This window comes from Homo sapiens, chromosome 1 (genome assembly GCF_000001405.40).
Source record: "Homo sapiens chromosome 1, GRCh38.p14 Primary Assembly".
In the NCBI taxonomy this organism is placed as follows: Eukaryota; Metazoa; Chordata; class Mammalia; order Primates; family Hominidae; genus Homo; species Homo sapiens.
Window position 1 is genome coordinate 236,891,472 of NC_000001.11, and position 13,201 is coordinate 236,904,672.

At 44.3% G+C, this 13,201-nt stretch overlaps 1 protein-coding gene across 13 annotated transcripts in view; it reads left to right on the forward strand.

Annotated features, from left to right (window-relative positions):
- The window catches only part of MTR (5-methyltetrahydrofolate-homocysteine methyltransferase), a 108,701-nt gene extending 96,191 nt beyond the window's left edge, over positions 1–12,510 (forward strand). For all 13 annotated transcript variants that reach the window (NM_001291939.1, XM_047421186.1, XM_005273141.6 and 10 more), the window contains 4 exons: positions 2,886–3,086; positions 3,887–4,079; positions 5,535–5,647; positions 6,087–12,510. In NM_001291939.1, coding sequence (NP_001278868.1) covers positions 2,886–3,086; positions 3,887–4,079; positions 5,535–5,647; positions 6,087–6,173 — 594 coding nt within the window. In that variant the 3' untranslated portion in view covers positions 6,174–12,510. The remainder of the gene's footprint in view (positions 1–2,885; positions 3,087–3,886; positions 4,080–5,534; positions 5,648–6,086) is intronic.

The following is a 13,201-nucleotide window of genomic DNA, read 5'->3' on the forward strand; positions in this document are numbered from 1 at the left end:
CCCAAGCCCAAGCCATCTGTGAGGACGAGGGAGAGAAGGCGCCACCATGGGTGTCAGAGGCAGGACCACTCAGCAGGAGTGAGGCGTTTAATATTGTGTTCCATGGATGGGCGAGGACCATTGCTGCTGTCTCAGGTGGTCACGTGTCAGGATCTCAGTCTTCTTAGCTTCTGAAGAAAGAGAACACTCACTTGTTCAAAAACGTAGGTTAATATCTATGCATATTATTAAAATAGACTGTCAGGTGGCTTCCCTTGAAAGGGGAAGACAGGTGGAAACAAACATTTGCAGAATGTATACCAGGTGCCAGGTGCATAGTAAGGTGCTTGATGGTCATGCTTTTAATTTCCACACAGCCGTGTGAGGCAGTTTAAGTTTGTGTTTTACAGAGAAGATGAAGGATGATGGAGATTGTGCTGGGCCCCCCAATATAGAGAGGAGAGCCCAGCCTGTACATATCCCCAGTGGCCGTTCTTTGACTGTGCTGGCTTTTTTTCTTTCGAGTGACGAGAACAGACTCTTCTCAGCAACTTGTCTCTCATCCCCCCCACCTTTGAAAAGGCAAATATCATATGCATGTCCCTTTAGCTGCTGTAAAAAAGAGTGTCTTAATCAAGAATTGGAACCAGAATTCACCAGAGTCATTAACAAATTTAATAATTTGCAGAAAATTACTCTGTTTTACTGCCATTTTCAGTCGTTCAGAAATAATAATGTTGGCTGGGCACAGTGGCTCACACCTGTAATCCCAGCACTTTGAGAGGCCAAGGTGGGAGGATTGCTTGAGCCTAGGAGTTTGAGACTAGCCCCGGCAAGATGGCAAGACCCTGTCTCTACAAAACAAATTTAAAAATGAGCCGTGCACTGGGGAGTGCAGGCCTGTACTTCTTCAGCCAGCTACTCGGGAGGATGAGGCGGGAGGATCACTTGAGCCTAGGAGATCGAGGCTGCAGTAAGCCATGATCATGCCACTGTATTCCAACCTGGGCAACAGAGTGAGACCCTGTCTCTAAAAAACAAACAAAAAAGATAGTGGCGCATTTTAATCCCAACCACAATATAATTCATAATCATCCATATTTTTACCATAACAGCATCTGAAGGGATTCTTAAATTTGGGGCCTTCAGCAGTACCATGAAGAATTAAACAAGGACAGCTACATCCTTACCATATGCACTTAGGCTCAGTAAATCCTCACTGTATGCGCCCAGGCTCGGACGCCACAGAATATAAGGCACTGGGGTTCTAATGTTAAGTTCCAGCCCCTCCTCACTAGGGAATTTGTGGCTATTCTTTTACAGACATAACTGTTCAAAAACCTCTGCTCTAGCCCAGTCTTTCATCTTTCAAGTCCTGTGTCCTCTGCGATCTCTTTTTACTTTCAGTACCATTCATGTCCGGGCAGTCTGTGACATATTAGGGCATTTAATAGAATGAATTCTCAGAGTTCACCTTTTTAGTAGCCTCTGGAGAGGGGAACTGGGCCAGGCACATACATTACCTACCCAGGTAGCAATTTCTCAGGAGGGGCTTTCCTCCAGTGCACTCTGGAACATTCTGGTGGCAGTGCCTTATTACTCTGGGAGTCTGCTCTTCTGAGTAGGCTCTGATTGCTGTCTCTTCGAAGGTACCATGGGGCTCTGTGATCTCTCTCTCCTGTGGCGCAGGGAAGCTTTGGGTCCCCCTCTGGCCTTTGTTAGCAAAGAATAATTGATGGGCCGAGTATACCTGGAAAACGGCTTCCCCATGCACAGCTGTCCCTGAGCTCTGTGACATTCCTGTGTGCCATTACCAAACACCTCCTCGCCTGTACTTAACAATTTCCTGCCCTGTGTCAATGAAGCTGTACTTGCTTCCACGGCGGGCAACGAGCTGTGAAGTGTGTGGGTTGGCCACTCATTGATTAATTGATCAGTCCTGAGCAGTACCATATATGTAGACGCATGGGTTGTGGTACCAGCCCCCTGGCCCCTCCCACTGTCTGACCTTGGGCCAGTTGATCAAGCTTCCTATGCCCCTGATTTCTTGTCTGTAAAATGGAGCTGATGGTATCACCTATGTCACAAGGTGGTTGAGAGGGTTAAATAGTAATTCATATAAAGCACCAAGAGCAGGCATACAGTAACCACTGAATGAGTATTATAAGCTATTTACCTTCTCAGCAAATATTTATTGATTTTTTTAATATGTATAAGACTTTATTTGTTACCTTAGTTGCAGGGAAGAGTTGCTTATGAGCTGAGGGTGAAAAATGGGGGAGGGTAGGCCCCAGGGCTGTGGAGAAAATCCAGAAGCAAATCCTGCTGAATTCTTGGTTTGGTGCCCAGCCAGCCCTGGGTGTCCTCAGCCGGCTCCTGTATGACCCTTGACCCCACCCCACATGGCAGGCAGCACATGGCCTGGGCATCGCTGACCCCAACAGTTTGTTGTTTGAGCTGCTGCTGTTGATGGAGAGTGGAGGCGCTTCCATTTATTGGATCTCTTTTGAACATGGTGCTGGACTTAATTGAAAACACTTGGGGACAAATTTTTTTTTTTTTTTAAACCGTGACTTTAGCACAGTGCCTGAAGGCATTCAGTAAATGTTTGGTCAGTGTGTGAATGAGCCAGTGAACTGGTGTCTTGACAATTTATGTTACGTCATGTCATACATTTTTTAAAAATCTCATTTCATTTGTTTATCTTACAAATATTTATTGGATACTCACTATGTGTCAGACACAATTCCAAGTACTGGGGATGTAACAGTGCACAATACAGGCTGCCATCTGTGCGTTGTGAAGCTTATTCTCATTTGACGATACCCGATTGCTCTTCATGGTGTGCTGGCGCCACGTTCTTGCTAACGGCGCCCCCGCACACTCCTACACTCCTTGGTTTTAAGGCTGAGAAGGACTCTGCCAGCACGGAGCCATACTACTGCCTCTCAGACTTCATCGCTCCCTTGCATTCTGGCATCCGTGACTACCTGGGCCTGTTTGCCGTTGCCTGCTTTGGGGTAGAAGAGCTGAGCAAGGCCTATGAGGATGATGGTGACGACTACAGCAGCATCATGGTCAAGGCGCTGGGGGACCGGCTGGCAGAGGTAAGGCAGAGGCATTGCGCCGAGGGGCTGAGGACAGAGGCCAGGCAGTAGGGAGCCTGGGGTGGGTGCCTGAAGACTGATCAGCCCTTAGAACCAGTGTCTTTTTTTTTTTTTTTCTTGAGATGGATGCTGCTGGCTTTAACATTATACGTATTTTAATATTATGTATCCCCAGATTGCTTGTGTACATTATCTTTGAGGCAAAGAAAAACCTTGAATGGTGCCACAGTTGGCTGTTGCTCTTAGAGCCTTTATCTCTACCTTATCTCTGTTGTCTCTCTTTGCTTGTTGTGATGTGACATTTTCCTCAGTACCCCAAAAAATTAAAAACAAATTTTTATTTCAGAGCCCCTCGTTGTAATGCTGGTGTCATCTATAGATTCTTCATCTTCCTCTGCATGGAATGAGGGTAGTAGCCTTTGCCCTGGGGAGAGCCTCTCCCTTTTCCTGCAGTGAACAGTGGAGGAACTAGCAGCTGTATGGTCCCAGCTGCTCTTTCTGGCCCGTGGAGCTTTGGATTGACCTTTAGGGAAATCGTTAATTTTAAGGTCTAAAATCTTTAGGTCATTAAGTATGGTCCTTCAGAGCTCAGGTTGAGGCCAAAATTGAGCTGCAGAGCAGCAGCTGATGAAAGTACAAACCAATCAAGAATCCAGCCTGTTTCCTCTTGTCAAATTTCCCCTGGCTGTGGTCCAGATGAGGGAGGGTGTCCTCATGGTTCTAATTCAGGGGGTGGAGGCTGCACTGATGCTGTGAGCCCCTGCGTCTGCCTAAGCATGCCTGCTGCTTTGGGTCCCAAGGCCTTTGCAGAAGAGCTCCATGAAAGAGTTCGCCGAGAACTGTGGGCCTACTGTGGCAGTGAGCAGCTGGACGTCGCAGACCTGCGCAGGCTGCGGTACAAGGGCATCCGCCCGGCTCCTGGCTACCCCAGCCAGCCCGACCACACCGAGAAGCTCACCATGTGGAGACTCGCAGACATCGAGCAGTCTACAGGTAGGAGCCAGGAGGCTGCGGGTTCCTGTCTTCCTTCTTCAGTAGATACTCTTATCAGCATACTGGCACTTAGGGTTAAACATGTTTTTAAAATGGAAGGGCTTCTAATCACATTGTCCCTTATGCTGTCCTTTTTCACTCGTAGCTATTCTGCATTTTACTTCAGTATTACTGATTAGTATTCTTACATCATTATTTTTAGATGTATCAATTTAAATTATTTCCTCTTGGCCTACGCCAGATGGGAGTTTAGCTTATGTATACCATCCTGTGCCTCTCCTGCCCCAGTTTCCTGTCACAGGCATGGTGATGTCTTTAATCCCTCCCTTAGAGACCGACCTTTGTCCCTCAGTAATGTCACTTTGCTTCATGCTCTTGTCTCATTGCTTGTGGATGGTGTCCCTGGGTGCTGGTCTTGCAGAGCGCCCAGCCTTCCCTTCAGCCCTCTTTTCTCTTTACTTTTACACTGTTAGTAACATTTATATTCTTCTGTAATCATAATTCTCTGTTATGTTTTGCCTGTGGATTGATTCTAAAAGCTGAAAATGACAAGCTGGCATGTGCCTTTCTGAGACAAAGGCCCAGACACCCGGCCTCAGCGTCCTGTGCCCAGAGCTGACTTGGCTCGTGGTTCTGTGGCTGCACATTGTCATGTCAATGTCCTGGTTCTGTCATTACTGCAGAGTTCATGTAGTTGAGATGGCCCAGGCTAAGCTCACAGTTTTCAGCGGAATTAATAAAAAGCATGCCATCAAAGCTGATAAAGGCATCCAGATTTAAGTGAGAAACCATGAGCTGTGCTGAATCTGCTTCAGCAGGAACAACACTAACTCTAGGAGTCATGAGATCTGGGTTTGAGTCCTGTTTCTGCCATAAGCTAGCTGGGCGACCTCTGGCAAAGCACTCACCCTTCATGTTGCTCTGTTTCCTTGTTCATAGAATGAGTGGCTTCGAATAGATATCCTTGAGGGTCTGTTTGAGCTCTCAGATCCCAAGGAAAACTGTCTCTTCTTTCTCACAATGTTGTGGGTTCCTTCTTCACTGGAGCTCTCAGTCGTCCCTAGTATCAGTGGCCGCACAGAGCCGGTGGAGGCTGTTCAGTTGTTGTTCTCATCTCCAGGGGTAGAGCTCCTGCCTGAGAAGGTCTAGGCTTAGGAGCAAATTAGGGCACCTGTAACTGATCTGGGATGGCTGGAGGTGGGAGTGTAGAGTCTTTCCCAGGCCTGTCCCCCTGGGTTAGAGGAGATCTGCATGTCCCGAATTTGTTTCTTCACCTGGCAGGAATTTGCTAGACTTCTCTGATCACAGCTTTCATGCTGTGTCATGTGTCTACCTAGAAGGCATGAGCTCGCTTTGGTTCACTTGTTCAACAAGAGTTCATTGAGTGCCTGCTAGCTGCAGGCCCTGTGCTAGACACTGAGTCCATAAGCATTTTCCCTGTGTTGCTCCCTCTAGGCATTAGGTTAACAGAATCATTAGCAATGGCACCTGCTTCAGCAGTCTCAGGCCTCTACTTCTCCAATTTGAAGTCCAAATATTTTGCTGTGGGGAAGATTTCCAAGGATCAGGTAAGCTAGCTGTTGCATTATATGTGGCTTGCCTAGTTCAAATGAAATTCTAGAACCTCTCTCATTTTAAATGTGAATGAGAATAAAGTGAGGGGAAAGGATGAAGAAATTTACTCCAGTTAATGTCTTAATTTGATTTCAATAGAATACCTCTATTCTAGCCCTCACTTCTACATGCAAGCCACACACACGCACACACACACACACACACACACACACACACACATACAGCTTCTAAGCATCAGATGTTTACTACATGTTTTTCTGCCCAGAGAAAAAGGCAACTTGGTAGATAAATATCTATCTCCATTTAACTCTGTAGATTGCTATTAAGACAAGAAATGCAAGGTACTTAATGTTTCTTGGCAAATCTTGTGGAAACTTCTATTCCAAAAGTCTTATCATGTTGGTTTAATAAAATGCTTCTCATCTTTTGCAGGTTGAGGATTATGCATTGAGGAAGAACATATCTGTGGCTGAGGTTGAGAAATGGCTTGGACCCATTTTGGGATATGATACAGACTAACTTTTTTTTTTTTTTTGCCTTTTTTATTCTTGATGATCCTCAAGGAAATACAACCTAGGGTGCCTTAAAAATAACAACAACAAAAAACCTGTGTGCATCTGGCTGACACTTACCTGCTTCTGGTTTTCGAAGACTATTTAGTGGAACCTTGTAGAGGAGCAGGGTCTTCCTGCAGTGCCTGGAAAACAGGCGCTGTTTTTTTGGGACCTTGCGTGAAGAGCAGTGAGCAGGGTTCCTGTGGTTTCCCTGGTCCCTCTGAGATGGGGACAGACTGAAGACAGAGGTCGTTTGATTTCAAAGCAAGTCAACCTGCTTTTTTCTGTTTTTACAGTGGAATCTAGGAGGCCACTTAGTCGTCTTTTTTTCCTCTTAGAAGAAAAGCCTGAAACTGAGTTGAATAGAGAAGTGTGACCCTGTGACAAAATGATACTGTGAGAAATGGGGCATTTTAATCTAAGTGGTTATAACAGTGGATTCTGACGGGGAAGGTGTAGCTCTGTTCTCTTCGGAAGACCTCGTTTTCTAAAGGCTGGACTAAATGGCTGCAGAACTCCCTTTGGCAAAAGGCATGCGCTCACTGCTTGCTTGTCAGAAACACTGAAGCCATTTGCCCCAGTGTGGTCAAGCAGCCATGCTTTCTGGGCATTTTCGTCCTCCCATAATTTCATATTTCCGTACCCCTGAGGAAACAAAAAGGAAATGAGGAGAGAAAGTTACTGTTAAGGGTGGTTAACATTTTTTTTGTTTTGTTTTGTTTTGGTTTTTTTTTTTTTGAGACAGAGTCTGGCTCTGTCGCCCAGGCTGGAGTGCAGGGGCGCAATCTCGGCTCATAGCAAGCTCCGCCTCCTGGGTTCATGCCATTCTCCTGCCTCAGCCTCCAGAGTAGCTGGGACTACAGGTGCCCGCCACCACACCCGGCTAATTTTTTGTGTTTTTACAAAATACAAAAAAGTAGAGACAGGATTTCACTGTGTTAGCCAGGATGGTCTTGATCTCCCGACCTCGTGATCTGCCCACCTCAGCCTCCCAAAATGCTGGGATTACAGGCGTGAGCCACCGAGCCTGGCCGGTTAACATCTTTTAATTGTTTCCAGGATTGAGCAGGTTCTCAGCTGGGCTCTGATATCCCGTGCGGAGTTGGACAAGTGGGCAGCATAAAGTCACTCATTTCTTACCATTTTATTCCCCTCAATTCTCAATATATTCAGTAATGAAGAATGGTGCCACCACTCAAGCAACAAGCCTCAAACTCAACCATGTCATCTTTTTCTTGGATGATTGCAGTTATTTCAAAAATTTGCATGCAAAATATACACTCATCCTACTTCAAGATGGTGGTGGCAATAGTCAGGAGAAGGTAACATTGGAGTCCTGGTTTGATTCGAAGGATGAAGACGAAGAAGCAAGGGAGGAACAAATGAAGAACCATCTTTGTTCATGAATAGGAATATTCAAGATTATAAAGGTATCAGGTCTCCTAAAATTGATCTATGGATTTAATACCATTTTCAATGGAAATTCCAACAGATTTTATTGAATGAAACAAGCAGGTGTTTATATGGAGTAGCAAAGGACTTAAAATTACCAAATGCTTCTAAATATGAAGGAGAGGTTGGGGACACGCACCCTATGTGATACCAAGTTTTATTGTCAAGACAGTGTCATGGTGCAGAGGTAGGCATTCTGAGCAGGGGAACAAAATAAGGGCCTAGAAACTCACCCGTGCATATGTTGACCTTTGCAAAATGACCTGGTGACATGGCAAGTCAGTGGGGACAGGAAGGACCACTCCCTAAGTAATCCCAGAACAATGGCTATTCATGTGGGAAAAAAAGAAATTTTACTTTCTCTCACCTTACCTGGTGATAAGTTCCAAATATGTTAAGGGCTTTAATACAAAAAGCAAAAATTGTCAGTGTTTGGATGAAAAAAGCCTTAGGGCAGGAAAGAATCTCTTGAGACATAAAGTAGTAATCATAAAGGACAAGATGGTTAAGTCAATTCTGTTAAAACTCAAGGCTTATATTAAGCAAACACTTGAAGTGAGAAGATGATCCACAACTTGAGAAGACATTTATAATACAAATAACTGATGAAGGATTCATAATCACAAATATAGAGAATTCCTATTTAAAAAAATAGAAAAATAGTGAAGACTACACAAGAGGAAATAGGGCTTTTAAATAAATAGATGTTCTGTAGCATTGGTCAGGGAAATATGAATTAGGACCACAATGAGATTCCATTTTATATCCATAAGATTTGCAAAGGTTGGGTCTGACAGTACCAGTTGTTAGATCTGTAGGGACTTGTACAACATTGTGGATGTGTAAACAGGCACCACTGCTTTAAAAAACAATTATCCCTTACAGACTTGAACATTTGCAGACGTTATGATCTTGCTTCCAACTCCCACCTGTATGTCCAGCAAACTCTTGCATGTGGCCACTAGGAGGAATGTGTAAGAATGTTCATAGTTACATATTTATAATAGTTAATAACTGGAAAAAGTGAAATGTATGTCTGTCTACAGGAAAATAGGTGAATAATTAGATATATATATTCATTCTACGGGATATTATTCAGTAGTGGAAATGAGTGAACTACAGCTATACCTCACAATAAGAATGAATCTCAGAAAATATTAAGGAAAAAAGCAAGTTTGAAGAGACCACATGGGGCGTACTATTTTTATTGAGCCCAAAAACAAGCAAAACCAAAGAATATGTAGTCTAAGCATACGTATACAATAAAACTATGCTATTAAAAAAAAAGAAGGTAACTGATAAACCAAAATTGAGCATAGTAATTACCCACAGAAGGAGGAAGTGGAAGGGACAGGAGCACATAGGTAGATGCCAAGTTATGCAGCTGTTCTGGTTCCTCCTGGTAGGCTTACAAGTGTTTACTATATGCTATTAATACATTATACTTTATAACTAATAGATAACAGTTTTTTACATATTAAATATGTTCTACTTAAATATATTATAAAAAATAAAGGCAAAGTGGAATGATAACCTAAAATCTGGTATGGTGATTTTGTAGGTAATGTTTGTATATGTCAAATACAGTTTTTAAGGAAAGGAAGAACATCTTAGGGTAAACAGCAGCTAGAAAGGTGAGGGGCAGGAGAGTGGTGCATCCTTGCTGCTGCCAGCAGTGCCCAGATACCAGGCTTTGGGGAATGAGTGGATGGCTGGACCATTTGCTAAGACAGAGGCCAGGGGATGGGAGAAATGATGAGTTTTGGAAAGATTCGATGTGACTAGACTGAATATAGGCAGTTGGATACTAGACTTTGGAATTTAAAAAGAATGTCTGGAGTTAGAATTGAGAGACTTGAACGTGGAGATGGAGGTCAGGCTGCAGTGCGATGGGATCATCTATGGAGCATATGAGGAGAAGAGAATCTGGAGGAGGAGGAGGGGGAGCCAGCAGGGGAGCAGCTGTGGGTTGGAGGAAGCCAGGAGGGAGAGTGCAATGCCGAGAAAGCAATGAAGAGCGTTTCGAAGCATGCCAGCAGAACCCAATGCTGCAAAGAGGCCTGGGAATGGGATTGCTGAGGGCCCTTCTCACAGTGAGCCCCTCAAGAGCAGCGTCAGGGGATTGTGGGGACTGTTGGCACACAGCTGGCTTTGCTAGGTTGAAGACAATGGGAGGTGTGGAAGACTTGTTGACTCATTTAAAGAAGATTGGAGGGAAAGGTAGGATTGAGAGTGTTTCAGACAGAAAAAGGATTATATGCTGAGGGTAAAGCACAAGTACAGAGGGTTGCAGATAGTGCAGAAGTCTTTAAAAACAATTATTTTAACCCAACTTCCAGGGAGACTGAATTTCTTCTGCCAGTCAGTAACACCATCAACCTGGGAGTTGCCCCTGACCCCTCCAGTCTTAGCTCCTGCTCCTGTAACAAAATACCACAAACTGGTTAGCTTATAGAGAACAGATGTTTATTTCTTACAGTTCAGGAGTCTGGAAGTCCAAGATCATGGTGCCATCATGGCCGAGTTCTGGTGAGGGCCCTCTTCTGGGATGCAGCGGCCAGCTTCTCATGTTCTCACAGTGGGTGGAGGGTAAGCTTGCTCTCTGGCCTCCTCTTAAAAAGGCACTAATCCCATTCATGAGGGCTCCACCTTCATGACCTAATTACCTCCCAAAGATGCCATCTCCAAACACCATCATTCTGGGGATTCCATTTCAACATGATTTGGGGGATACATCAGACCATAACACTTTTCTTTTTCTCAACCTTCACATCCAGTTGGTTCTCAAGCCCTGGCGATTTTACGCGCTAGATAGGTCTTAAGTTCATCTCTACGCCTGCCCTGGTTAAGGTTCTCATCATTTCTCCTCTGGATTCATCTGCAACACAGGCTGCCGGGTTGGTTCCCACCTCCTAGAGCTGGAAGAGTGGGCTCTCTGATTCTTTACACCCCCGCCTCAATCCTCCTGCTGCCTGAATAACCATCTCCCCGTGACCTAGGATATATCCCAGCCCCTTAGAGGCATGCAAAGCCTTCCATGTCTGACCCTGCCTCATGTCTTGGAAGCCCTAGACTGCTGCTGTACCCTGAAGGAGGTACCTGCTCACATTGGCCCCTCTGTCTGGAATAACCCCACCCCGGTTCCACCCAAGTCAGGAAAGCTTCCCAACCCCTCCCTCCCACCACCCCAAAGCTAAGTGAAGTGACCCCTCTTCTTGCCTCTGTAACACCGCCATGCACATTTCATACAGCCCTTGCTGAAACTTCATCTAGTTCTCTGTTAGACTTAACATTCCCTAAGGGCAGGTTTGGAACCTTACTCATCTTTATATGGCGTCTAAAATAGTGCTTGCTTTATGATAGGTGCTCAGTAAAGGTTGTCTTGAATTGAGCAGATCCTCTAGGGACAGGAGTTGGATGGAGAGCAGACTGTAAAGCCTCATGAGGGCAGGGGCCCTGCCTCTTCCTGAGCTCAGGATACCCAGAGCCTAGCTCAGTGCCTGCCATGAAATTGTTCACTCCATCAAGCCTTGTTAAATGAGTTCGGGGCGGGGGGAGCATGATGGTTTTCTCTCTCTCAGAAAGAAAGCGCTGTATCAAAGCCCTAGCACCCTCTCTACACCCACCTTCAGTATTTCATATTAGATGCGGCCCAAGTGATACTTTCTTTACCGTCCCGTGAAGACAGCATATTGGCAGCCCTGCAAAAACAAAACAAAACAAAACCCTCAGTTCATGGCATACTTGCTATAAATCAGCTATGTGTATTGTCAAATTGTAGAACTGAAAGTATATTCTGATTCGGTGTGTGTATAAGGAAATATACACCAGTATATGCATTAAAACGTCAAGAAGAGCTGGGCACAGTGTCACATGCCTGTAAACCCAGCTATTCAGGAGGCTGAGGTGGGAGGATCGGTTGAGGCCAGGAGTTTGAGGCTGCAGTGAGCTATGATTGCACAGCTGCACTCCAGCCTGTGCTGAGACCTCATCTCTTAAAAAATAAAAAATAAAAAGTCTAAGAGGATACACAGAAATTTTTAAGTGGTTACCTCCACGGAATGGGATTAGGGGATCAGAGGTGAGGGAACTCATGGTTTGGCTATTTCTCGTTCTTTCTGCACTGTTTCAAATTTTTACAAGTGTATGTTATTGTACTTTTAAAAAGATTAGCTTGGCAACAAGTCTAGCCTGAAATGGGTGCTATTTTGACTAGTCTGAGTGAAAAGTGAGGATTTAAATGAAGTAACCCCTAAACTCAGCCAGTCCCATGTTTTTTTAACACTTGGAATATCTAATTCCATTTACACTGCATTCTTCAAATGTAATTTTCAAAGATGCCTTTTGCCTCATCCCTTGCTTTTAAGTATTATTATAGACTTTTGGAGACTCACGAAACAAGCAATCCCTAAATTCTCGCCCAGGAAAGTATCTTGGATTAAATGGTTTTTGAGAACCTTGAGAGTGTATATTCTATGAAATGGAAGAAACAAGAACTAGACAGAGTCACAAATGCTGTTGATCACAGACAATCTCTGCCATCCATAAGGTAAATGTAATACATCTGGCGACCTGCTGAGTGTGAACTTGCAGCAGGTGAGGAAGGAACTCTGAACTCTCACAATCTTGTTTCTTCATTTCCCAGAGAGAAACTCGGCAAAGAGAAAAAGGACATTTCCCTCCAGGTTATCTGAAAGAATTTCAATGCTTACCTTTAATCATGTGACATTGTTTATCTTGGATTAAAAGAAAAGAAAATGTATTTATTTTGTGCATATTTTCAATAAAATATATAAAATCGAGTTGGTATATAGTGCCAAATACCATTAATTAAAAATATTTTAACCTGATATGATAGATTGTTGAATTTTTAAAAATTGTATTGAGATGAGCTTATCAAGAAAATTTGAAGGATTCCAGGGGAAAACATTTTAGTGTTAAAGTACTTGATTATTTTTAAGATAATGCAGCTCTTTTCAGAAAAGGTAGCAGTTAGCTCCAAGAGATATTTCAATGGCTCATATAAAGCCTTCCAGTCACCATCAGATATTTCCTTACATTGCTATGGGCAAGTACTAACATCCAGTTTAAAACCATTGGGAATGCTGAAGTACAGCAAATTGAGGTGACAGCTTGGTCCCCAGCAGAGCCAGGACTGCTTCCTGGTCTGCAGGAGCCCATTTCTCTCCACTGGGCCTTCAAATTAAATCTTGAGGCTGGGTGCCGTGGCTCATGCCTGTAATCCCAGCACTTTGGGAGGCCAAGGTGGGCGGATCACCTGAGGTCGGGAGTTTGAGACCAGCCTGACCAACATGGAGAAACCCCGTCTCTACTAAAAATACAAAATTAGCAGGGCGTGGCAGTGCATGCCTGTAATCCCAGCTACTCAGGCTGAGGCAGGAGAATCGCTTGAACCCGGGAGGTGGAGGTTGTGGTGAGCCGAAATCGTGCCATTGCACTCGAACCTGGGCAATGAGCGAAACTCTGTCTCAAATAAATAAATAAATAAGTCTTGAATAAAGTTAGGGATCAAATATCAAT